General features: G+C 47.9%; 1 protein-coding gene across 10 annotated transcripts in view, besides 5 other annotated features; it reads right to left on the reverse strand.

Moving 5' to 3' along the window:
* PACSIN2 (protein kinase C and casein kinase substrate in neurons 2) overlaps positions 1–25,386 on the reverse strand; it is a 145,384-nt gene that overhangs the window by 41,655 nt on the left and 78,343 nt on the right. For 9 of the 10 annotated variants that reach the window (NM_001349968.1, NM_001184971.1, NM_001349972.1 and 6 more), the window contains exon 2: positions 601–737. The exons of the other annotated variant lie outside the window; for it this stretch is intronic. In NM_001349968.1, coding sequence (NP_001336897.1) covers positions 601–660 — 60 coding nt within the window. In that variant the 5' untranslated portion in view covers positions 661–737. The remainder of the gene's footprint in view (positions 1–600; positions 738–25,386) is intronic. 10 annotated transcript variants of the gene reach the window in all.
* Positions 4,538–5,316: an enhancer, noted in NCBI's record as "NANOG-H3K27ac-H3K4me1 hESC enhancer chr22:43311964-43312742 (GRCh37/hg19 assembly coordinates)". NCBI's record gives its function as "activates a minimal SCP1, AML or CMV promoter by ChIP-STARR-seq in primed H9 embryonic stem cells {active_cell/tissue: H9 hESC(primed)}" and the evidence as "EXISTENCE:reporter gene assay evidence [ECO:0000049][PMID:30033119]".
* Positions 14,141–14,939: an enhancer, noted in NCBI's record as "H3K27ac-H3K4me1 hESC enhancer chr22:43321567-43322365 (GRCh37/hg19 assembly coordinates)". NCBI's record gives its function as "activates a minimal SCP1, AML or CMV promoter by ChIP-STARR-seq in primed H9 embryonic stem cells {active_cell/tissue: H9 hESC(primed)}" and the evidence as "EXISTENCE:reporter gene assay evidence [ECO:0000049][PMID:30033119]".
* Positions 19,387–19,466: a silencer, noted in NCBI's record as "silent region_13845". NCBI's record gives its function as "represses an Ori minimal core promoter by ATAC-STARR-seq in GM12878 lymphoblastoid cells {active_cell/tissue: GM12878}" and the evidence as "EXISTENCE:reporter gene assay evidence [ECO:0000049][PMID:35858748]".
* Positions 22,597–23,113: an enhancer, noted in NCBI's record as "H3K4me1 hESC enhancer chr22:43330023-43330539 (GRCh37/hg19 assembly coordinates)". NCBI's record gives its function as "activates a minimal SCP1, AML or CMV promoter by ChIP-STARR-seq in primed H9 embryonic stem cells {active_cell/tissue: H9 hESC(primed)}" and the evidence as "EXISTENCE:reporter gene assay evidence [ECO:0000049][PMID:30033119]".
* Positions 23,114–23,629: an enhancer, noted in NCBI's record as "H3K4me1 hESC enhancer chr22:43330540-43331055 (GRCh37/hg19 assembly coordinates)". NCBI's record gives its function as "activates a minimal SCP1, AML or CMV promoter by ChIP-STARR-seq in primed H9 embryonic stem cells {active_cell/tissue: H9 hESC(primed)}" and the evidence as "EXISTENCE:reporter gene assay evidence [ECO:0000049][PMID:30033119]".

Below are 25,386 nucleotides of genomic sequence, written 5' to 3' on the forward strand. Positions count from 1 at the left end.
AAAAAAAGATGGACTTTCCATTAACTAGCAGGAAGGAAAAGTAAGTGGGACTCAGGAACAACACCCTCCGCCTCCACAAAAAAACAAAAATAATCCAATCAGGAAGAGGGCCACTCATGGGTACAGACTGGCGGCAGATGCTCCAGCAAGTTTGAAGGCATTTGGCCCTCTGGCCACTTGCCTGTGTTGTCCAGCATGATGTCAAATCACAGCCCTCCTTGTTTCTACATAAAACTCAACAGTAAAGTGCCTCGTAGGATAAGCTGAGCAATTAGTGTCTGTCTCTCCCACTCACACCATGGCAAACATAAAAAGGAAGGTGATCCCCAAGACCTTTCATAAACACCCCTAACCTCTTTAAGTATCAGCCTTTCCTAGCAAGGTAAGTTCACTGCCTTCGATGATGGCTAAGGCATACCTGAACTGCCTAAAAACAAGTGTCCAAACCTTTTCTGCTGCTATCTAGGTCTGACTACAAATGCATGGCTGGTTTGGGGGTATGTTCACCTCAGTTCCCAACCTCCACCAAAAAAACCAAAGGGCCTGCCAGACACTATTGGCCTGGCCACTTCATTCACTGGAAGAAAGCAGGTGCATTACCTCCCAGAAGCTGTCGCTGGACACTTCTACTCCAACGGAATCATCATATGTGACAGACATTTTTTCAAAGGCTGAGGGAGCAGCAAAGTATACTTAGTCAGGGGTCAACTTCGAACGCTCAAAATCTGTAGACAAACCTATAAATGAAAAACATATAACATAGTGGTTTTTAAATTCCCAAGGTAAAGAAACAAGTCATCTCTATTTCACAACTTCCCGTTTCTAATCACTGCCTTCAGTACAGGGCGGTCTATAATATTTCCTTTAGGTGGCAGAAAGCCAGTAGACTCTAATCAACTCTGGGCACATATGTGTATGTCTGTGTGTGTGCATGGTGGGTGATGGGGGCGAGGGGTGCATGTGCATAAAAGGCAGAGTCCTTGGATCTCTGGGCTTGCCCATCCCGACCTACTCTACCTAACTGGTAGGGCTAGGACCCGGGATAAAACGTGAGTGGAGGTAATCCCACCTTTGACACCCTACTCCCCTCTCCAGAGTGGCTACCACATTCCACTTGTGTGAGCACTGTCCCCACTCAACTCCACCTTTACTGACTCCGCCACTGAAGCCACAAATTCAGACCAGTTTGTTCTGACACTGTCTGTGTGTGGCTCAGCTGGAAAGCTAAATGGATCACTTCTGAATAACAGACTCAGCAATCTACAATCCAGGCAAGGGTAAAGGCGGCAATTATTTCCCCTGTTGGAGGGAAGAAACTGAAGGACTCCCATAAGCACAAACCACACCTTGCTAGTGTGATGACCTGTCCGCAGCCGAGATGAAACTGTCTGACTTTTTGGTAAAAAGGTGACCCCACCTTTCTTTACCTTACCCTGTGTTCAGATCACACAGCCAGAGATCCAAGACCTTCCTCACTGCCACAGTCAACAGTCTAAAGCCTTAGCTTAGCAACAGGAAGGGGTGAGACAGAATGGCCAACTTGTTTTGAGCACCAACAAGGCACAAGACTTTGTTCTAGGTCCTGTTTCATATGTAATCACATGAATCTTCATGATTCTCTGTGACACAGCCTGGAATTGGAGCAAGAAACACAGACTCCAGAGTCAGACTACCTAGGCTTAAATCCCAGACCCATTACTTATGAGGTGGGCAACAGTGGGCAAGTTACCTACCCTCTCTGTGCCTCGCTTGCCTTATCTGGAAAAAAGAGACAATAGGCCGGGCACAGTGGCTCATGCCTGTAATCCCAGCACTTTGGGAGGCCAAGGCGGGCGGATCACCTGAGGTCAGGAGTTCAAGACCAGCCTGACCAAGACGGAGAAACCCCGTCTCTACTAAAAATACAAAATTAGCCAAGCGTGGTGGCATGTGCCTATAATCCCAGCTACTCAGGAGGCTGAGGCAGGAGAATCGCTTGAACCTGGGAGGTGGAGGTTGCGGTCAGCCAAGATCGTGCCATTGCACTCCAGCCTGGGCAACAAGAGCGAAACTCCGTCTCCAAAAAAAAAAAAAAAAAAAAAAAAGAGAGACACTAATGGAACCTACAACACAGAATTGCTGCAAGTCAAATATATACAAGAGCTTAGAACAATACTTGGCCCTTAGTAAGTGCTACGAACTTACTAAGTACTGTTATACACCCTTAGTAAGTGCTACGAACATAGTAAATAATGAATTATTGTTGCCACTATTATTATTGCATAGTAATTATGATTACTATCATTACTTCTGTCTCTATTTTAAAGTCAAGACAATTGATGTTCAGTAATTTGCCCACGGTTGTCCAAGTAATGGCTGGTGGAGACTAGTATTTGACACCAGCTCTGCCTGCTTGCTAAGGTAATATTCTCTCCATTACACCAAGATGTTTTCCAAAAACAATCTCAAAGTTAAGTAAATCAGGCTTCCTACAACCTAAAATTGGATTGCTAATTAAAAGGGCTTAATCTGGTGGATTGCAGAGCTCCTAAAGGTAAACACACTGCTGTGCAGCAACAGAGACAAAGTCCACAACAGATAACGGTACTTCAAAGCCAAGTCCTCCAAAGACATTGCCGCTGTGAGGAGACTGTTGCAGGACTAAGATGCATGCACGCTCCTAACCAGGCTCTCATGGAGAGAACTCCAGTGAGGGGTTCTCCCACACTGGTTAGGGCTCTGCTCCATAATCATAGGGGCAGCGTGTCATCTGAACCACTAGGATTCACAGAGGCTGGACAGGCCACCTGGCCTGGGCCCTGATGCCACCTCTCACAGTAATTTTTTTTTTTAGGTGGAATCTGGCTCTGTTGCCCGGGCTGGAGTGCAGTAGTGCAATCTCAGCTCACTAAAACCTCTGCTTCCCAGGTTCAAGCAACTCTAGTGCCTCAGCCTCCCCAGTAGCTGGGATTACAGGCATGTGCCACCACGCTCGGCTAATTTTTGTATTTTTTAGTAGAGATGGGGTTTCCACCATGTTGGCCAGGCTGGTTTCAAACTCCTGACCTCAAGTGATCCACCCACCTTGCCCTCCCGAAGTGCTGGGATTACAGGTGTGAGCCTTTTTTCTATGGAATCCTATGCTGCTAGCCAGGGCCCTCCTGGAGTCGCCTCACCCCATGTTTCAGCAGGAGAAAGTTTTCTACCCAGAGCAGCTGGTCTCTGCTCTAGGCTTCTCAGGGAATAGCAGGGCTTTGGGCTCAGGTGAGTCTCAAAGTGGCCCAATCAAGCCACCAGCTGGGCTGCCTGGCCAGCCATGGGAGCAGCTGCAGGGAAGAGCAGGCCCCTGCTCCGGACTGAGAGGCAGCTTGACACCTGAGCCACTTGGGCAGAGGAATTCAGATTCTGTCTGGATGCAGCTGTGGTCTTGACACAGTTCTGCACAAGACTGATTGATTGACTGACTGGTGGTTGACTGACTGACAAAGCGTCTTGTCTGTCATCCAAGCTGGAGTGCAGTGGCATGATCACACAGCTCACTGCAGCCTCGAACTCATGGGCTCAAGCAATCCTCTCGCCTCAGCCTCCTGAGTAGCTGGGACTACAGGCACGTGCTGCCAGGCCCAGCTAATTAAAAAAAAAATTTATGTGTGGAAACTGGGGTCTCACTGTTGCCCAGACTGGTCTCAAACTCCTGGGCTCAAGCGTTCCTCCTGCCTTGGCCTCCCAAATTGCTGAGATTACATGGATGAGCCACCACACCGGGCCTAAGATTTAAGAGCCCACTAAGTGCCAGGAGCCAAGGAGAGGCTCAGCACAGTGGGCAGCCTTTAGGAGTAAGAGCCTGAATCACTGAGGAGAGAGGTAATATAACCAAGATTCTGGGTCTGCCAAGGGCATCAGACAGGACATATGCTCTTAGCTGACCAAAAGGAACAAGGAGCAACCAGCAAGGGGAAGGGACATTCTCCGGTTACATGGTGGCAGAGCTGGGAAAGGCCCATACTTATTCACTTTCCTTCTGTCTGGGACCAGGATCTCATCATAGCACTGCACTCAGCAACAGTGACATCCTGTAGAATGCCTTCAGGTGCAATGAGGGACAAGCGTACCCCACGGGTATCCCCTGTGGCCACAGCTCAATCTGTAATAACATCAGCTCAACTATCCCCATGTGCATTACTTAAGAGTTCATCTTAATGCTCAGCCAGCTCCTCCCTGCCACAAATCTGTCACCTTCCAACTTAGACATTCTCCGAGATTATATACATCTTTATTAATTTAAGTAAAACAGAATTAGGAAGACAAATCTTTTTATAAAATGCACAAGGCATTTCAGACCCAACAGAAATTACTTTAGGAAGCTCTGCACCACCACTTCAGTTCTTGAGCTGGAATAATTCACAATCAACTACTTTCATCTGAACCCTCTAAGCACATCTTATACAAGGTCTCACTGAACTGTGCAGTCAGAATCTAGCAAAGATATCCGAAGCCCTAAGGCGACACTGAGGCAAGATATAGAAAACCCAAAAAGACAGAGACTGTGAGGGGAAGAAATGAAAGTCTCCTGCCCAAAGAGTCAGTGACGTAATGCAGACGAGGTGCCTGTGGGGAAGGCCTGGGATGGTGGAAGGCGGGAAATCCGAGCTCTACCACTGGCCAGCTGGGTGACCGCAGAAAGCCATGTAATTTCTCTGAACCCCAGTTCCTGAGCTGTGCTTTACCAGGTTTCAGTGAAGGTTAAATGAGATGAAGGTCTCAGTACCCCCAGGTCACAGGCCGTGGCACGGCCTACCTCAATGGGAGCATTGTTCTTGGCCGGCACCCTGGGCTTCAAAGTGTCCTTGCTACTTCCTTCAGCTCCACAGTCACAAGGAATGCAGGTAAAGGGGAGGACCTGGGGGACAAGAATCTGCACCACAAAGAAAACCCAACTGATTGTACAACCATGGCCAATCTGGGAACTCATTTCTGATGTTCACAGAGCAACAACCTGGGGTGGGGGTGGGGATGGGGGGTGGGGAAGGGGGGCCTTGAGGGCAGGCACCGAGCTGAGTTCTCAATGACAACTCCCAAGTCCCCTCTCTCCTGCCCCTGCTCCGGGATATGAGCAGCAGGGGCCCTGTCCAACCACCTCACCCCTCCCACGGCACGCCGCACCAGCCTCAGCGTATGGGACTCTCCTGGCTCCCCGCTCTCACCCTGACAAGCCTCCCTTTCCTCCCCCAACTGCTTGCACACCTTGCAGTCCGCTCTATGGCTCCTCCCATCCCTCCCAGCACTGATCTCTGGAACTCCCATGACTTCAAACGGCATCCATGTGCAGGGACACACCAGCAGCTCTCAAGAGGCAGCCTCTCAACCCAATAAGGTGATTTCCTCGCAGGCATGGAGAAGGCCCAGCAGTGACGAAGTCACCTGGCATACATCTGACACCCTAAAAGTGATAGCCATTGTTCTTAGAATCACCACAGCAAGCCACCCGAAGGTACTCGGAAATGTTGGTGACTGGGGCTGGGTTTGATTTTTGTTTTCCTGTCATTGTTGCTACTGGGATAAGCACTTTTGGTGACGCTGCCACCTGCCACTGTGACCTTGCCACCAGCCCTCCCTTCTTCAACAGCAAAGAAGCCAGTCATACCCACCCCTATGGCGACTCCTCATGTGCCAGACACTGCGCCCCATGCACTACACGCGTGCACTCCATTTAGTCCTAACAACTCTATGGGGTAGCGGTTTCGCCATGGGCATTGTCAAAGCAAGGAACCTGGGGCATACAAAGGGTTGGAGCTTGCCCAAGCAGCGGAGTTGAGACCTTAATAAAGGCAGGCTGACAGCAGTCATGCTCTTAACCACTGATCTTAACCACCTCAGTGCTGAGTTCAAATCTTCTAGAACATATAACATGAAAAACTAAATATCGGTCAGACACGGTGGCTCACACCTGTAATCCCAGCACTTTGAGAGGACAAGGCAGAAGGAATGCCTAAGCCCAGGAGCTCAAGACCAGCCTGGGCAACATAGTGAGATCCCATCTCTACAAAAAGTAGAAATTAAAAAAAATTAGCCAAGCATGGTGGCACGCACCTGTGGTCCCAGCTACTCAGGAGGCTGAGGCGAGAGGATTGCTTGAGCCCAGTAGGTCAAGGCTGCAGTGAGCTATTATTGTGCCACTGCACTCCTGCCTGGGCAACAGAGCAAGACCCTATCTCAAAAAAACCAACCAAACAAAAAAAAAAGTGAACACGCACTGCTCTGCGGTGTGCCGTGATGAACTACTGCTATAGTCCTATTTCCAGGCACAGTCTGTCGATCTTGGCCTTTCAGAAGATGTTAGTAAGCCATGGTGGTTTAATCTGCATTTCCCTCACTGATTGGTACTCTTTTCTTTTTCTTTTTCTTTTTAGAGATGGGATCTCACTATGTTGCCCCGGCTGGCCTTTAACTCCTGGGCTCAAGGGATCCTCCTGCCTCAGCCTCCCAAGTAGCTAGGACTACAGAGTGTGTGCCACTGCCTGGCTATGCTCTATCTTTTTATGCCTTAATGGTGCCATTTGTTGCACGGGAACACTCAGTCCCAGGGCAACTGTATTTAAATATAATGTTTACTGCACCAATATTATCCCCACTTGCCTGGCAGAATCGTGGTGAGGGTCAACTGAGAAGGATGTGAAAATGCTTTGTAAAGTAAAAATGTCCTTTGCAGGTAACAGTTGCTATGGTGGGCATGACCCCATCCTGAGTAGGAACCAGCTGCACACCAGGGCCACTGCAGACAGGCCACACCCTAGAATAGCCATGCTCAACCTCATAGGGAGTCCAAGGAGCTAGAAGAGCTGCCTCATGGCACCATGCAGTGTTCAAAAGCTATTTGATGACTGAATTATATCCCCCAAAGACAGCTATATTGCCTGGAGTCTGCCATGTTTGCATCAAACCAAGCAAGACTGCTCCACCTGGGAGCCCAAGCTACAAATTTTCTAGAAGTGGGATAAACCACCATCCAAGCAGCTACCAGCTACTCAGTACCTCTCAGCACCAACAGATGGGTGAGGTGAACTTCAGATATATTATTTTTGTACCTCAAAAATCCTATAAAAGATGTATTATTGTTTCCATTTGATGAAAAGGCAACCAAGATACAGATAATTCAAATCACTGGTCACAGACCCATAGCTCTTAAGTGCTAGGCTGAGACTCAACCCAGACCATCAGACTCCACGCTGCCCAACTCCAACAAGACACCACATGCCCAGCTACCAGGCATTTCCAGAATCCGGCAATCTCTGGCAGCGAAAAGAAGAAAGGGCAGGAGGATTCTCCAGAGTCCCACCACCTGCCAGGGAGGCTGGAGCCTCAGGGCTTCCACATTGACCCTGATCTCTACCACATCCCCAAAGGCGCTGGGCCTGTCAGGAAGTACTACTATAATTTTTTTTTGACACACACATGTCCTTAACCATAAAAATGAATCTGCTTGCAGCACCCTCTCAGCTGAAGAAACACATAAGCTGAGGAGACTGAGAGGCTTCTGAGAGCGATTGTTTCTTCAAAACGAGGTCAGGTAGGGCATGTTTCCTGGCTCTGCTTCATTCATTCTTCCAGGTTGAGCCGACTACAACGACCTTTACCATACCTGTGCACACGTATGGGACAAGCTGCTCTTTAATGCCAAACAGTGCTGGAGCCTTTGGAAATCAATTTATTAATGCAAAAAATATGTAAAATGTGTATTTAATAATTAATTGGGGGCTTCTCATCTGGAAGGTAAAGTTCCTGGGAAGAGAGTGTGATATTGAGTCGAAAATGAGTCTCAGCTCCACCTCTGTAATTCAGCTATTTGTCCCCTCTGAGAGCCACTGTCCTTGTCTGTAAGGCAGTACAACATGGGCTCTCATTACCTCCCAGGGTATTAAGAGGCTCGGGGCGACAGCTGTGAAAGAATTTTGAGAAAGTGCAAAGTGACAGACAAATGAGTCATCCCTGGTCTTTCCAAGGACAGGGACTCATCTGGCACTTCTTTTGCACATTTCAGACTGTCTGGCACCCAGTGGTTGACTGATTATTTCTTCCTAAAGAAACTGAACTCAGGCTGGGCGTGGTGGCTCACGCCTGTAATTCCAGCACTTCGGGAGGCTGAGGCAGGCAGATCATGAGGTCAGGAGTTTAAGACCAGCCTGGCCAACATGGTGAAACTGTGTCTCTACTAAAAATACAAAAATTAGCTGGGTGTGGTAGCATGCGCCTGTAATCTCAGCTACTCAGGAGGCTGAGGCAGGAGAATCACTTGAACCCGGGAAGTGGAGGTTGTAGTGAGCCGAGATTGCACCACTGTACTCCAGCCTGGGTGACAGAGCAAGAACCTGTCTCAAAAAAAAAAAAAAAAAAAAAAAAAGAAAGAAAGAAAGAAAAAGAAAAAGAAACTGAGCTCAGCCAGGCACGGTGGTTCACGCCTGGAAATCTCAACACTTTGAAAGGCCAAAGCAGGTGGATCACTTGAGGCCACCCTGGGCAACACAGTGAGACCACCATCTCTAAAAAAAAAAAAAAGAAAAATTAGCCAGGGGTGGTGGTACACACCTGTAGTCCCAGCTACTCAAGAAGCTGAGGTGGGAGGATCACTTGAGCCCAGGAGCTGGAGGCTGCAGTGAGCTACGATCATACTGCTGCACTCCAGGCTGGGTGACAGAGTGAGACCTGGTCTCTAAAAGAACTTTAAAAATTAAAAATAAGAAAGAATCTAAAAAAGAAAAAAAGAAACTGAGCTCCAATACCGGAATTCAATGCTGAATGAGTTCTGTGAACTCTGAACAAGGGCTACACGTGAGGGAGACTGTTCCTGCACACACTCCAGACCTGAACTCACTCTCACGGGCTACCCTGGGTGCCATGCAAGATGAATCAGAAGCATGCCATCCGAATTCCAACAAGTGATTTTGAAATAAACTTTTAGAATGGGGTGGTGTGTGCTGAGTTATTCTGGATTCTTTCCCATCACAATGGCAAAAACATGTAAGAAAATATGTTTCCCATGTAGTTCCTCTGAATTTATTTCTTTTCCAAAATAATGACATTACAGCATGGCTATTTTAGTGTCACTTTTTGGAAAGAAACAAATTCAAGGGAGGCAAACATACCTCCTTCTCCTTCCTCCCAAAGGCCTGCTGAATTAAGAGGTGGAAGCTGTAACAACGCAGAAACAAGGCCGCACCGCCCATGGTGGAGGACGTGCTGGAAGAGAGCAGCCAGGTGTGCACCAGGAGAAGAAAACCACCTAAAAACGCCAGTGCTGGAGACAGGCCTTGGCAGGGTAGGAACGCCAAGCTCAGGGTTGAGAAATGCAAAGTTGTGAGTGGCAGGGGTGAGGGTCAATTATCATGAATTATCACACTTTTTTTTTTTTTTTTTTTTTTTTTTTGAGACAGGGTCTCGGTCTGCCGCCCAGGCTGAAGTGCAGTGGTGTGATCACAGCTCACTGCAGCCTCAACCTCCTCAGCTCAAGTGATCCTCCCACCTCGGCCTCCCCAGTAGCTAGAACCACAGGCATGCGCCCAGCTAATTTTTGTATTTTCCAGTAGAGACGGGGTTTCGTCGTATTGCCCAAGCTGGTCTTGAACTCTTGGGCTCAAGTGATCCACTGTGCCTGCTCCAGGGTCATTTTTAAAAATGTATTTGGGCCAGGTGCAGTGGCTCACGCCTGTAATCCCAGCACTTTGGGAGGCCGAGAAGGGCAGATCATGAGGTCAGGAGATAGAGACCATCTTGGCTAACACGGTGAAACCCTGTCTCTACTAAAAATACAAAAAGTTAGCCAGGCGTGGTGGCACACGCCTGTAGTTCTAGCTGCTCGGGAGGCTGAGCCAGGAGAATCATTTGAACCCAGGAGGTGGAGGCTGCAGTGAGCCGAGATTGTGTCACTGTCGCCCACCCTGGGCGACAGTGTGAGACTCCGTCTCAAAAAAGAAAAAAGAAAAAAAAAAAAAAAGCTGCATTTGGAGCCAAGCCATCAAGTACAGATGACTTTCAGGGAAACCCACCTGGGGCATTGCCCAGACTCTTACAGAGATGTGGCCACTCTCCCATTTAGGGGAAGGGCCAAGAGGGAACCAGCTCAGCTTCCTATGCCATCAGCCCTACCCTTTCATAAAGTTCAAACTGAAATCAGGGGAAAACAAATACTTGAGGGAACAAGAGAGAAATTCTAATGAAATCTGATGAGAATTCTTGGAGAGACTCAAGGGTTATGTACCCATAAAACACAAACAGGCTGCTATGAAAAGGGAGCAATCAGGAGCCAGAAAATAGCTTTTCTAACTTTTGGAAACTTCATTTAGAAGCTTTTTTTTTTTTTTAGACAGAATCTTGCTTTGTCATTGCCCAGGCTGGAGTGCAGTGGCGCGATCTCAGCTCACTGCAACCTCCGTCTCCCGGGTTCAGGCGATTCTCCTGCCTCAGCCTCCCGAGTAGCTGGGATTACAGGCGCTCACCACCATGCCAGGCTAATTTTTGTATTTTTAGTAGAGACGGGGTTTCGCCATGTTGGCCAGGCTGGTCTCGAACTCCTGAACTCAGGTGATCCACCTGCCTCAGCCTCCCAAAGTGCTGGGATTACAGGTGTGAGCCACCCAACCCTTTTGTTCTAAGGGGCACTTCTCAGGAATCTGGGAATCCGGGAATGACTGAGGTATTGAAAACAGTTCCAGATCTCAGATTCCAGTGACTTCTGCCAGCAATGTATGTAAGTACAGTGAGTCAGAGCCATTCCTTAGATGGTGTGCAGAGTCTCAGAGGTTAACAGAGGTTGCTAAGGTGACCGTGGCACAGGCTGGAAGCTGGCATAACCTCCTTCCTCCCCTTTGGGCTTGATAACAGATATCAGGTAAACAAATGATGTATTCACAAGGACATCCAGCTCCCCCTTAACACCCTTAATTTATTCCACAACCAGACAAAAGAACAGGTCATTTTTTAGGCCAAAAGGCTATTTTCATAAAGCAAGAACATTCTGAGTAAAAAGACCATGTTGCTCATCTCTCCTGAAAGCTGGCCTCGGGAGAAAGCCCCCGATACCCCGCTCTAATCCTCTAACTGCAGAGGTAGGCAGAGGTGGACATCCTCGCTGCCACGGCCCGAGCACACCTGGCTGGCTGGGTTCTGGCCGCTCCACAGGCCTTGCACTGAGCACAGGCTGACCTGCAGCTCGTTTCCTCTTCACTATCTGGGGGGAGATTCTTCAGTGGTTGGGAAATAACGATTTATTCTAAGCCAATGTTTGGGCCCAAGGTGAGAGGGCCCTTTGATAAGGGACATATTTACCATGTGAACATCTACCATGTGCCAGGCACTCTTCTAAGCTGGGGGAGGGGCAGTGGACAAGGCAGACTGGGTCCCTGCCCTCCTGGGGCTGACATCCTACTAGGGCAGATTGGCACACAGCAAAGTAAAAACAGCTATATGGTGTGAAAAGCACCAGGACACAGAGAAGTAGGGCACTCTAAAAGACCTGGGGGTGGGGCGGGCTTACTGAGATAGAATGCGAGCTCTCTGAGGACTGCAGGAAGATGGGCAGTGGGCATGAGAAGGACAGGGGAGGGGTCTTTCCGGCAGAGGCAGAGGGAGTGAGTGTTGTGGCTGTCCCAGCACCCAACAAAGCGGAAGCTCACATGCTTCTGTGGGGCAGGGTGCACTTTAGAAAGGACTAATCTGGCATCATAGATAAGCTGCATGGTAACTCAGAGTTTTGTACCCATGCTACTGGTTTTAAAAATGAGAACATATTCATTTCATAATTGGCCGCAGAACTGTAGCTGTATGCACTGTTGCATGTCTTCTCAATGCATGATATATTTAACAATCCGACTTCAGTCTATTCTCAACACGGTGACCCTCTCAAAATGCAAGGCAGACCACATTGCTGGTCTTAAGTCCCTTGTGCAGAGTAAAAGCCCAGGTCCTCCTGGCCCGCAGGCCCGCATCTGCTCACCTCCACTAAGCTACTTCATCTTCAACTATTTCTCCTTCTTCTTCTTTTTTTTATTTTTTTGAGACAGAGTTTCACTCTGTTGCCCAGGCTGGAGTGCAGTGGCGTGATCTCGGCTCACTGTAAGCTCCGCCTCCCGGGTTCACGCCATTCTCCTGCCTCAGCCTCCCGAGTAGCTGGGACTACAGGCGCCCGCCACCATGCCTGGCTAATTTTTTGTATTTTTAGTAGAGACGGGGTTTCACCGTGTCAGCCAGGATGGTCTCGATCTCCTGACCTCGTGATCCGCCCGCCTCGGCCTCCCAAAGTGCTGGCATTACAGGCGTGAGCCACTGCGCCCGGCCTCAACTATTTCCTCTAAAAATTTATCCTGACTGGGCATGGTGGTTCATGCCTGTAATCCTAGCACTTTGAGAAGCTGAGGCGGGAGGTCTGCTTGAAGCCAGGAATTCAAGACCAGCCTAGGCAAGATGGTGAGATCCCATCTCTAAAATAAATTAAAAAATAAAATTAGCCAGGTGTGGTAGTGCACGCCTGTACTCCCAGCTACTCAGGGGGCTGAGGCAGGGGAACTGCTTGAGCCCAGGAATTTGAGGCAGCAGTGAGTTACGATTGTGCCACTGCACTTCAATCTGGGTGACAAAGCGAGACCTGGTCTCTTTAAAAAAAAAAAAAAAAAATCCTGGAGAATACCCGACTTTGTTTCATGAATGGCCCCATACTAGAAGGAAGGGAGGTTCCCACAAGACCCCCAGGCCCCAGCTTTAGGGAGCGGGGGAGGTCCATGAGCACCTCCTGGACCGGCCTTGCCTCCAAAAAGCCAAGGACATGACCAGACCCCCTGCATCTCTCCACTGTCAGTGCCACTATCACCTCTCCTTTGTGTGGCTGCAGTCTTCTTCCCTCTAACAGAGCTCCCAGCTTCCCACAGTAACTCAGTGTTTTGTATCTGTGCTACTGTTTTTAAAAATTAGAACATATTAATTTCATACTTGTACATACAACTGTAGCTGTATGCACTGCTGCATGCTTTCTCAATGCATGATATATTTAACAATCTGACTTCAGTCCACTCTGAACAGTGTGACCCTCTCAAAATGCAAGGCAGACCACATTGCTGCTCTTAAGCCCCCCATGCAGAGTAAAAGCCCAGGTCCTCCCAGCCCGCATCTGCTCACCTCCACCGAGCTACTTTGTCCTCAGACCCTGCTCTCCAACCCGCCACCACTGCTGTCCACCCTACACCAAGCTCCACTTGGCTCCTCCGCTGGTCTGGGCACTGCCAGGCACAGTGAATGTGCTCGTCTCCTCCCTGAAATGGTCTCCCTCCTGCCCCACAGGCCTGTATCAGCCCCCACCCCAGTGAGGTTTTTTTTCTTTTTTTTTTTTTTCGACACAGTGTCTAGCTCTGTCGCCCAGGCTGAAGCGCAGTGGCACGATCTCAGATCACTGCAAGCTCTGCCTCCCGGGTACACGCCATTCTCCTGCCTCAGCCTCCCAAGTAGCTGGGACTACAGGTGCCTGCCACTACGCCCAGCTAATTTTTTATATTTTTGGTAGAGACGGGGTTTCACCTGTGTTAGCCAGGATGATCTCGATCTCCTGACCTCGTGATCGGCCCAAAGTGCTGGGATCACAGGCGTGAGCCACTGCGTCCGGCCCCAGTGAGAACTTTTCTAACCCTGCCCCAGCCCCCTCAGACCCCCTCCCTGCTTTATTTTTCTCTCCCAAGCACTTACCACCTCCTAACGAGCTACATAATTTACTTAAATGTTTTATTTCTTGTCTGTCTGACCCTCTAGAAAGTCAGCTCTAGGGCCGGGGCGGTGGCTCACGTCTGTAATCCCAGCACTTTGGGCGGCCGAGGCTGGCGGATCACTTGAGGTCAGGAGTTTAAGACCAGCCTGGCCAACATGGTGAAACCCCATTTCTACTAAAAATACAAAAATTAGCTGTGTGTGGTGGCGCATGCCTGTAGTTCCAGCTACTTGGGAAGCTGAGGCAGGAGAATCACTTGAACCTGGCAGGCAGAGGTTGCAGTGAGCCAAGATCACGCCATAGCACTCCAGCCTGGGCGACAGAGCAAGACTCCGTCTTTAAAAAAAAAAAAAAAAAGTATCAGCTCTAGGAGGGCAGGGACAAATGTCAGCTGTGATCACTGCTACAGCCCCAGCATCCAGTGTCAAACACAAAGCAGTTGCTTTGTAAATTGCTGGATGAATTCAGGACAAGAAAAGTTGAAGAGCCTGGGTAATTTTGATTTATGGAGACTGAGGATTCAAAGATGGAAAATAATGAGAGCATTTATGTGAAGGTGCTATAACTCTAATGGTTAGAATTCTTTCGTAAACACTACTGCACATGTTAATCTAAACCACACATGGGTTTAGCAACCACGGTTGGGGGCTGTGTGGTTCTACCCTGCCTGTCTACCACCGGCCTCACGGGAGGCCCTCCTGCTGCCTGACAACCCAGCTGCGGCCCATGGGTCCCTGGGCCCTCTATGTCACCAGCCTTGGCTCAGCTCGGGCTATTCATGTATGTCCAGTCAGTCTCCTGGAAGAATGGGGTCTCTTGCTTGTCTCTACCACCCAGGTCACCCCCTATAAGCCAGTGGGCGCTCAGGAAGTAAGGCCCACATTAAGATAGTGCTTTGCACCATTAGCAAAGCTGGGATGTTTTTTAAGAGCTCAACTACCTGGCACAACTCATTTTGTTTCCAGTGATTTCATCTGGAAAAGTGAACATTCCTCAAAGGAAGAGATAAGAGATCAGCAAATAAAGTGACTTATATCTCTCTGGAACATGGTGTAGTACATTTGATTCAACAACGGGAAACAGCTTGCGCATTGCAAGATGCTTGGGCTTAAAGGCTGGCCCCTCCCTCAAGGGAATCACACTGAGGCCTAGAGCTCAGCAGGTCCTAGGCCCTCCAGAAGCACCCATCGGCCTGGGCAGGGTGGGGCAGAACACACTCAAAGGTGCTTCCAGAGATTAAAAAAACAGCCAGCATCTCCAGGCAGACACAACTCATTGTTGCTATAGAAACCATCACCGAAAACCAGAGGATTTCAAACCACCTCATGGCACAGAACTATCCACTGCAAACTGAAGAAAAACAGTGGGAGGAAGGGGAATCTTAGGAACTCCACGAGGACACAGAATCACTTCAAAGAAACACAGCACAGACTCTCCAATATCTCTGTTAAGAAGAAAAGAGAAAAAGAGAGGGGGGAAAACACATCTTGTTTCACTCAACATGACAGACCAAGCCCTCTTCTTCCCACAGGAAAAAAAAAAAAATCATTCTGGAGCTGAGTGCACCTGTGGTCCCAGCTCCTCAGGAGGCTGAGGTGGGAGGACTGCTTGAGCCTAGGAGTTCAAGGCTGCAGTGAGCTATGATCACGCCTGTGAATAGCCACTGCACTCCTGCCTCGGCAACATAGAGAGACCCTATCTCTTAAAAAAAAAAAAATGCTTGGAGGAGGTTAAGGAAAAACAAACAACAGAGCAACCTCAGTGCAGTTCTTCTGCTTACCACACCTGGCTGGGCTCCTCGGCAGCTCTGAAGCTCACGATTCCTGTTCAGGAGAACCTCTGGCTCTCCTCTTTCCAGCCTCCCCACACTGCCAAGCCCATGATGATTTTAAGTCCAAATGTTGGCTAGCACAGAGCTGTCAAGGCCAACAGGGGCTCCTCATGGCCAGTTCTGTCCCACCAGCCTCCGCTCTCCTCATTTAGCCCTTGCTTCTCCCATCATCTATGGACTGACTTCACTGTCCTTGCAGCCAACAAGCCATCCTGTGTTCTGCTTTCCTCAGCTGCATAAGCAGCATTTCTCCCTGTTGTCTGGGTATCTTCCAGTTACTTTTTTTTTTTTTGAGACAGAGTCTCGCTCTGTTGCCCAGACTGGAGCACAGTGGCACGATCTTAGCTAACTGCAACCTCTGCCCCCGAGTTCAAGCAACTTTCATGTCTCAGCTTCCCGAGTAGCTGGGACGACAGGTGCCCGCCACCATGCCCAGCTAATTTTTAAAAATATTTTTAGTAGAGACAGGGTTTCGCCATGTTGGCCAGGCTGGTCTCAAACTTCTGGCCTCAAGTGATCCACCCATCTTGGCCTCCCAAAGTGCTGGGATTACAGGCGTGAGCCACCACGCCTGGCCCCAGTCTTTTATTTATTTATTTATTTAGTTATTTAGTTATTTAGTTAGTTATTTTTGAGACTGAGTTTTGCTCTTCTTGCCCAAGTTGGAGTGCAATGGCGTGATCTTGGCTCACTGCAACCTCTGCCTCCCAGGTTCAAGCGATTCTCCTGCCTCAGCCTCCCGAGTAGCTGGGATTAGAAGCATGCACCACCACGTCTGGCTAATTTTGTATTTTTAGTAGAGATGGGGTTTCGCCATGTTGGTCAGGCTGGTCTCGAATTCCAGACCTCAGGTGATCCGCCTGCCTCAGCCTCCCAAAGTGCTACAATTACAGGCGTGAGCCACCGTGCCCGGCCTCAGTCATTTTTAATGGCTGTAAAACGTCATGTCATGGTCCCATACTCCACTGAGCCGAGCCCTCATGTCCAGATGTTTGGGTTTCCAGGTAGTCCTCAGGCGGAGCCCAGGTTGGGGATGTCATGGCACATGCAGCTTCCACTTCTGTCCCACTGTTTCCCTGAGGCTCTCTGGCTCACACATTCCAAAGAGAGTTGAAGAACCTCTGGATACAGTTTAAAGAGCAAGATTTCAATCTGACATCCTCAATCTACACTTAAGGGGCAAACCATAAACCCTTGAGAAAGGACGGGAACACACCCGGAGAGGCATAGGAGGAAAATGGCCCAAAGAAACACCTTGGCTAAAAAATGTCGCTGCCTCTGAAGTCCTTAAAGTGATTCACTGTCTCTTCACGTGCTGAATCTGAGAGTGCTGTAGGCGATGAAATATCACCTGCCATCTTACACATGCATCAGAAATGGACAGAAGGAGGAAAGAAAAGAAGGTGTTCACATAAAACAAGACTTCAGTTGCTGTGGAGGCAGGTGAGCCTCACATAGCTTCTAATTTCATGCATCAGAGTACAGAAATCAGGTTGGTTTTGTTTTTATTTTTAAGAAACTTCAAATACATAAGCCTCATTTGTGAAATTTTAGATGTGAAACTCCTTTAATATGTAAGTTGTCAGAGTGTTTCACTGGGCCTGATGGACTGATGCTCATTAAACTCAGTAGATGGTGTTAATGTCTGAAGACAATGAAGTACACCCCAAAATAGTGGTGGAGGCACTTGTAGGTAATCAGGCTGGTGAAGGGAATCACTGGGTATACCCTACCTGGAACACCAAATTTAAGGAAAAATACACACAAATACATATACCTCTAAACAAACAAAATCAATAAAGCTACACTGAACATAATTTCATTTTTGATAATTCTGAAGTCATTTTTTACACTTACAAAGAGCTCTCAGTGCCAAAATTTAGAAGCCTCATCCCAAATTTGCCATTAAACAGCAATGGGACATTGGGCAAGTCCCTTATCTTCTCAGCATCCAACTACTTTCACATGAAAAGAAGAGAGTGGGATTCAACAAGCTCTTAGAGTTCTCTGAGTTTAAAATGTTTTAAGACAGCCTCCTATAAGCAGGAGATTATGGAAGAATAAACGTGAATTAAAGCCGAGTAATTATAAGAGTGTGTATGTGCAGTGAGCATGGCTGCAAAGATCCTCCCTACTTCATCAGATCCAGGCCTGACGGCCGCCCTGTGCAACTATACTCACCAGGACCCCAATGTCCGGGCTTGAGCTCATTATCAGGGTCTCACTGTGAAACAAGCCACAGTCAGCATAAAGAAAGTCCATGCTTCCCAAGCACGTCCACATCACATAAATTACTTACAATGTTGGTAACACAAGGTCTCATCTATGCTACAAGTCCTGCCCACATACAGAGGCTAAAATTTAAAGGGAAAGTCAACAGCAATTAATATTTGTATCTTGCAAAACCAGTAAAAAGTGCTCTGACTCTGGGTCCCAGGACTTCTCATTGAAGATGCTGTCAATAGCTTCTGAGAACTGAAACACAGTGACAGCACTGGGCTCAGTGGATTGTGAAATGTTCAGTGGGAGTGGCGTGCCTACGAATGGCTTGATCCTGCTTCCAAAGTACAGGCAAAAGAATGAGTATCTCAGAACTCCAAAACGATCCTGTCTGGTTTCTTTCCAGGTTCTTTTGTTCACCTTTTAGAATGGATGTCATACTAATCACACAGCTGGGGACATCTTTCCAATTGTGTGACGTCTGCTCCAGAATGATGGTCTACTTCAACTCGGACAAGGCAGGAGAGTGACCCGCCACCCGGGGCTCCAAACAGAGCCCTGCCCTTTCAGGTCTTCGTACCTCCCTTCACAGTATCCTTCTCCCTCAAACAGCCTCCCAGATGAGTGTCAAGATACTAATTATTCTTTAAGATCAAGATCAGATGCCACCTCTTTCATAAAGACTTCCTTTATTCCCAAATGTCAGCTCTGCTGCCTGGCCTGCCTGCCTGTGTTCCTCTCACACAGGGCTCCTTCCAATCAACCTCAGATGGAGGGCGGTCATCCAGGCATCTGTCTCTCCCAAGAGACCTAAGATCCTTGAGGGCAGGAACCACATGGAGTTTATTTTTGTGTCCCAATCCTAGCACAAAGTTCGCCGTGTTAAATATGAATGCCATGCTTTTCTCATCGCGAACCATGAGGTGACTTGGGAACAGAGCCATGCACAAAACGAGACAGAGGAAGTCTAGGTCTCTGACAGTGTGGTGTGCCCACCAGCCATGCCACCTCTGGACTCTGCAGATGAGAGGAATAAACTTCTCTTTAAGCCACTATTATTTTGAGGGTCTCTGTGACATGCAGCCTAACTCACACACTTTCCTGCTACCTGTGCTCTCTGCCCCAATTCCACAGCCACAACATGCAGCAGCACCAGGACCTCTGGGTTTGGGCCCTGGACACACTCAGCACCTTTGTCTCAGCTCTCAGACCTTCTCTGGACCCTCCTGTCCTCGTGTCTCACGCAGAGCCTAGCACAGATGAGGCACCCACTCAATCCTGACCCAAGAAGTACATGGATACCCACGTTCACACCACATAAACAAGGGAAAAAGTTATTCAATAAACTAATTTTGAAAATGATTGTCTTTTAAATTAATCAAAATGTTTCTAAAATGCATTTGGAAGTATGAAAGTAGGTCATTTTGAAATAACAAAAGGCACGCTCATAAAAAGCAAAAATACCTCCATGGTTTTGGTTATCCAATTTCTCAATCTGGTTTGGGTCAGTGGGAAAGTTTAAGAATTAAAAAATGAAAGTTTTTGACAGTTCAAGTTCAAAAGTAAATTTATAGATGAAGAAACAGAGGCATAAGAGTGTTTAAATAACGTGCCCAAGTCACACAACTAGTAAGGGGCAGAGCTTGGATTCAAACCCAGACCAGGTGCTCCAGAGCCTCCCTGAGCCACCAGGCTGTGCTGCCTCCTGCATGAGACACAGGCAACAAAAGACACCAAGGAAAGGCAGAGGTGAGTCACGTGTGCGTGACTCTGAAGAGTGACAGGCTGGATGCTAAGGGAGGCAGCATGCCAACCCGAGTCCAACAAGAGTAGAATGTTGACAGGAATTCTTTCATTCACTCATTCATTCGCTCAGTGTTCACTGCATGCCTATTCCAGACGCCTGCCTGCTCAAACAGCTCAAGGTGTTGAGGGAGGCAGACACCTAACTCACACCTGCCTTGTTCACAGTTGTATCCCACGGCTGGGCACAGCACCTGGCTTACACGAGGCAATGATATGTGAGAAGCAGCAATGAATGAATCCCAGCCTTGCTGCAAACCAGCTGGGTAACCAGGGGCACGTTACTTAACCTTCCTGAACCTTAGTTTCCTCATCCAGAAAACAAAACTAACACTGCCTACCACTCCTTGGGATTGTTGGAGGACTGAAGTAGCTGCTTTCCACCCAGGGAAGTGAGGAAATGGCTTCCAAGCCAGCGACACCAAGGTGAACCTTGGATGGGAATGGGGCAGGTGCAGAGTGGGAGAGGCAGGAGGTGTCCGAGACAGAAGAGACCTTAGGTGATGGGAAGGTAGTGGAGGAACACAGTCAGCGTCAATGGAACCAGCCAGGGTTCAGAGGGCTCCACAAAGCCGATGGCTGCCCTGAAACAGGAACAGCGAGGAAGGAAGGAGGAACTGGTATATTTCTACACAGAAATCCCCATGTGGTTTAAACTTGATGAGTTTCTCATAATGTGTAATCTTCCAGCTGCTGGCTAGGCTGAGAACTATTTCACACACTATTAATAGTTACATTTTTTAATTTAACAGAGCCATGCAGAGATCACGTTGTTATTATTATGGTTAACAACCAGGGTATATTCACTTACACAATCCCTCTCTTCCAAAACAGCCCAGAAAATGTCACAAAACCCCCAATTGTAAGGAACACAGGTGGTATTAATAACCCTAAATTTTCAAAGCTAAAATGAAAACGTTTAATGTTTTCCCATGGAAACTCAACGTTAAAGAGAACAGAAAACCTATCCTCACTTCCAGTTTCTAGCCTCTTCAGGGCAATATTTGTAAATACTCAAATCATGTCACTTCCCTTCTCTAAACCATCACATCACTTCAACCCTAACTCCTCCGCTGTACTGCAAATCCCGTCATGACCCGGCCCCTGCCTGCCCTTCCACCCATTCCCCAACTACTCTCCCTTACCTGCTGGCCCTTCTCTGTCCCAGCACAGGATCTTCTCTCTGTTTCTTCAACATAATAAGCTCATCCCTGCCTCAGAGCCTTTGCACATGCTGTTCCCTCTGCCAGGAATGTTCTTCCCTGAGACAAGCGTATGGCCGGCTCCCCCTCACACCATTTGGGGCATCCCTTAGAGAATCTAGCCACACCTCCCACCACCACCAACTCTAGCCTGTTACCTTCTAACTCTTTTTATATTTCCTCAAAGCACATACCACTACCTCAGTTTTTACCTGTGTACAGTCTGCTTTCCCCTCTAGACAGTGAATTCCAGAAGCGTATCTCACATATGACAACAGGTCCTTTCTAACATTTGTTGAAACTGACAGCGACACACTTGGGGATCTTTACAAGTGAAATGGTGGGACAGTAAAGTGTTGACTTGATAAAAGGATATCAAATAAGACCTTTAGGATAATGTACTATTGGTATCAATTTTACTCACGAAGACCATATACTGACATATCTTGGATTACACAGGAGAGAAAAAAGATTAGTTACTCGGATTATTAACTACAAATGTTTATTGAGCTGAGAGCAAAACAATTTTTTGATGATTCTTACAAAGTCAATTCTAAAAAAAAAAAAAAGGAAAAAGCCAATTCTTCCACAATGGCCAGCTTGTAGAGCCACTAAGTCAGAAGCACTTCCCACCTGGAGCCTCCTGGGCAGCCCCCAGGACACCCCCCTGTCCACATGCCACTAGAAGTCCACACTTTCCACACTTTTATTTTGCTTTTGATCTTCAAAAAGGGGTCCTCTCTGAATCAGAGGAACCAACTGTGTTAGGAGACGAAATGTCCAATCAGTTACGCAGCACTTTAAATTCTCAAGTATCAAGAGTTGCTGTATCATTGAATCAGCATTTATATTTACAGTAGAATTTGAAAACACCTGGCAAAGCCAAGTTCCCATAATTAAGTCCAAAGCACATATTCAGAACCTAGTCTATTATTATCTTTATGTGTCAGAGGAAAACCTTGTTATCCCTGAAAAGTTGAGGTCTAAGACTTTAAGAAATTGGAAACAAACTATCTCTATGGTTCCATATACCTCCCCAACTTTCCTTAAATCCTGAACAACTCTTTAAGAAATATATATTTCTCAAAGCAATGAGATGTAGAAAGGTACCTCTCTGAATAATCCTGCATGCCTGGAGGGCGGGCAAAGCCGACTTCACCAGTGACTGCCAAGCCCAGCATTGTTTTTCTCTGGACTGCAGATTCTCAAAACAAGAGACCTGCCCAAAGTGGAAGCCTCAATTCAAGTCCAAAAATAAATGACAAAATAAATAAGAGCAACAGAACACACCCATGTTCATGTTTGAGGGGACCAAAGAACCAAGGGTGGTCTGTTAGATGTCTAGACCAAAATGTATAACACCAACTCCTCCCAAGCAAAAGCAGCAGCCTGTCCGTCCTATACTCTCAACCGTGGCGCCTAAAGGGGAAGTGGCTCCACACAGATGACATAGGTCCACCCACTCAAACCCCAACGGGGCCCTCACAGCCCCCGCACCCTGCACCGTCCTTCACAGAACCAGACCCTCTTTCTTCCCAGCATCTGCAAGTGGCAGAACAACGGACTTTTCCCATTTGGAGAAAAATGCTATTGCAGCTGGAGAAACATTCTTGGAAGTTATGAATAAGATATTCTGATTGTAAGGAATTGTAAATGTGATGCTGAAGTGTGTGAAAGTATGAACAAGCAGACGAGGAAATATTATGGCGCCATGGTAACAGAAACTATGGAAGAAACTCCAGTTCACAGAACTGTTTAAAAATAAACCGGATACTCAAATACCAGTGAAAAGCTACAATGACTCACACTGTTCTCCTCAAATACTTACAAGAACAGCCAGTTCTTTAACACACTTGTCTTCCAGGCTTTTTCCCCATTGGAGAAATGTGAGACAAAGAGAGTAAAAAGGAGCTTTGAAATTTTCTCTAATTTTACCAGCAAGTTGATCTGAATAACAACTTATATGTTTTAGAGTTGAGATGGGAGTATGGAAACGTGCAGAGAGCACTGAGGCTTTGAATAAAAACCATACTAAATTCAAAACATATAACCGAGGCCCAGAGTATGCTCAACTGTGTGCCCAAATACCAGTCAATCTGGTAAAGAGCTACAGCACAATTTCTACGGGAAACGCAAGACCTTCAAGGCACTGTGTGTGTGCAGATCGCCTTTTCCCTTCTTTTCCCTTCTTGGCTTCTGTGTACTCCCCCTCCTTTGGGCCCTGCCTCAGCTGCACATCCTCCAACTACACTTGCACACCTTTCAATGTGGCAGCTGCACACAGAACACCTCCTGGGGCCTCCCCACTCTGGCTTCCCAGCCTGCCCAGCAGCCTTGCCCCTCATGGGCTGGCCCTGATAGCCACACGTGCAGCACACTGCCACCTGAGACTGCCGCCTTGCTGGTCAACTCCCACCTACCTTGCAAGGCCCAGTTTGAGTGTCATCTCCTCCAAGAAGCCCCCCACCGTTCTAGTGACCCTTTGCCCACCACTGTCCCGTTATAGTTCCTCTATGGTGCCATTATTTGGCCCCCATTCCTCTTTCCCCAACCAAGTTGTTAACCCTGGTAGATCAGACCATACTCGAGTCACCTGCCTTCCCTAGTGCCTATCACGGTACCCACAGCTCCTCAGTGAGGGTCACTGAAAGAAAAAATGGAGCCAGGGCATGGATTTCTTTTCTTTCTTTTCTCTTTCTTTTCTTTTCTTTCTTCCTTTTTCTTTTTCTTTTTTTTTGAGACAGAGTTTCGCTTTATCGCCCAGGCTGGAGTGCAGTGGCGCAATCTCGGCTCACTGCAAGCTCCACCTCCCAGGTTCACGCCATTCTCCTGCCTCAGCCTCCTGAGTAGCTAGGACTACAGGTGCCCGCCACCGCGCCCGGCTAATTTTTTTTTTTTTTTTTTATTTTCAGTAGAGTCGGGGTTTCACTGTTTTAGCCAGGATGGTCTCGATCTCCTGACCTCATGATCTGCCCGTCTCGGCCTCCCAAAGTGCTGGGATTATAGGCGTGAGCCACCGTGCCCAGCCCAGGGCATGAATTTTTTAGGAAACCTCAGAGTCCAGCAGTGTCTGCGCCATATTCCTGATTATCGAGGACCTGCCTCCTCCCTGTTTCCCTTTCCCCTGACCTAACTCACCATTTCTCTCCTTTTCCCATGGGGCGGGGTGGGGGGAAGAAGGCTCTCCTGCACAGACTGCCCCTCTTCCACATGTGCGGAGACCTACTGTGGACATGGCTCCAGACTCATGGTCTTGTCTAGGGTCAGAGCACCAAAAAACTTGTTTCCACATAAGCTTTGCCACCAGCTGGTGAGCAGTTTCAATGAAGTAACTGTACTTAGGCAACACTTAAAATGGACTTCGTGAGGGATGATTTTTCAATCTTTTGCAACACAAATTATTCATCAAGTCCTATAATCACTGAGATTTCAATTTGGCTTGTTACCAAAATCCCAAATACTGGCTTCGAGGAAAAAGTGTTTCCACAGAGACAAGGGCAACTTGAGAACAGGTTCACGGGCCAGACACTGAAACACACTGGTCCCGAGGGAACACAGGTGGCCCCACAAGCAGCACCCTCAGACAGCATGAGACCTGGAGAGCTCAGAGAGTCCCAGGCATCCCAGGGGCTCCATGGCACCCCTGAGAGATGACCTAGCCATCAAGTCTTACTGGCCACGTTACCCAGGTACATTCTATCACTTCATTCTTCCTGTTGAAAACTACAGAATTCCAGCAGGGCACGGTGGCTCACGCCTGTAATCCCAGCACTTTGGGAGGCCGAGGTGGGTGAATCACAAGGTCAGGAGATCGAGACCATCCTGGCTAACACGGTGAAACCCCGTCTCTACTAAAAAAAATACAAAAAATTAGCCGAACATGGTGGCGGGTGCCTGTAGTCCCAGCTACTCAGGAGGCAGAGGCAGGAGAATGGCGTGAACCCGGGAGGCGGAGCTTGCAGTGAGCCAAGATTGCGCCACTGCACTCCAGCCTGGGCGGCAGAGCGAGACTCCGTCTCAAAAAAAAAAAAAAAAATCCTACAGAATTCCACTCATGAAACAGGGATGACAATGCACACCCTGTGACTTCTGAGGATTCACTTAGATCATGCGGGGAAATACCTGTCTCTCATCTGGCAAACAATCCATGTTGGTTCCCTTCCCTGGCTCCAGTATCAGTGGAAGGAGATGGAGCAGAATGACCCCGGACTTAGCACAAGACTCCTCCCCTCTGACCTTCAGTTCCCTTGTTCATGGAGCAGATGATCTTTAAGTCCTATGAAGACTCAAACATTCTAAGGGGACATGAAGCATAGGCAAAGGCAAAGGATGGACTGGTTTAAGTGAAAATATGTAGTATGCATTTTGTATCAAAGCAAAAAAAGAAAAAAGACTTTTACATATATCAAAGCAGAAATAAAGATGGGGTTATGGCTGGGCATGGTGGCTCATGCCTGTAATCCCAGCACTTTGGAAGGTCCAACTGGGTGGATCACCTAAGATGAGGGGTTCAAGACCAGCCTGGCCAACATGGTGAAACCCCATCTCCACTAAAAATACAAAAATTAGCCAGGTGTGGCAGCACACATCTGCAATTCCAGCTACTCAGG

The sequence above is a fragment of the Homo sapiens genome, chromosome 22 (genome assembly GCF_000001405.40).
Source record: "Homo sapiens chromosome 22, GRCh38.p14 Primary Assembly".
Lineage (NCBI taxonomy): Eukaryota > Metazoa > Chordata > Mammalia > Primates > Hominidae > Homo > Homo sapiens.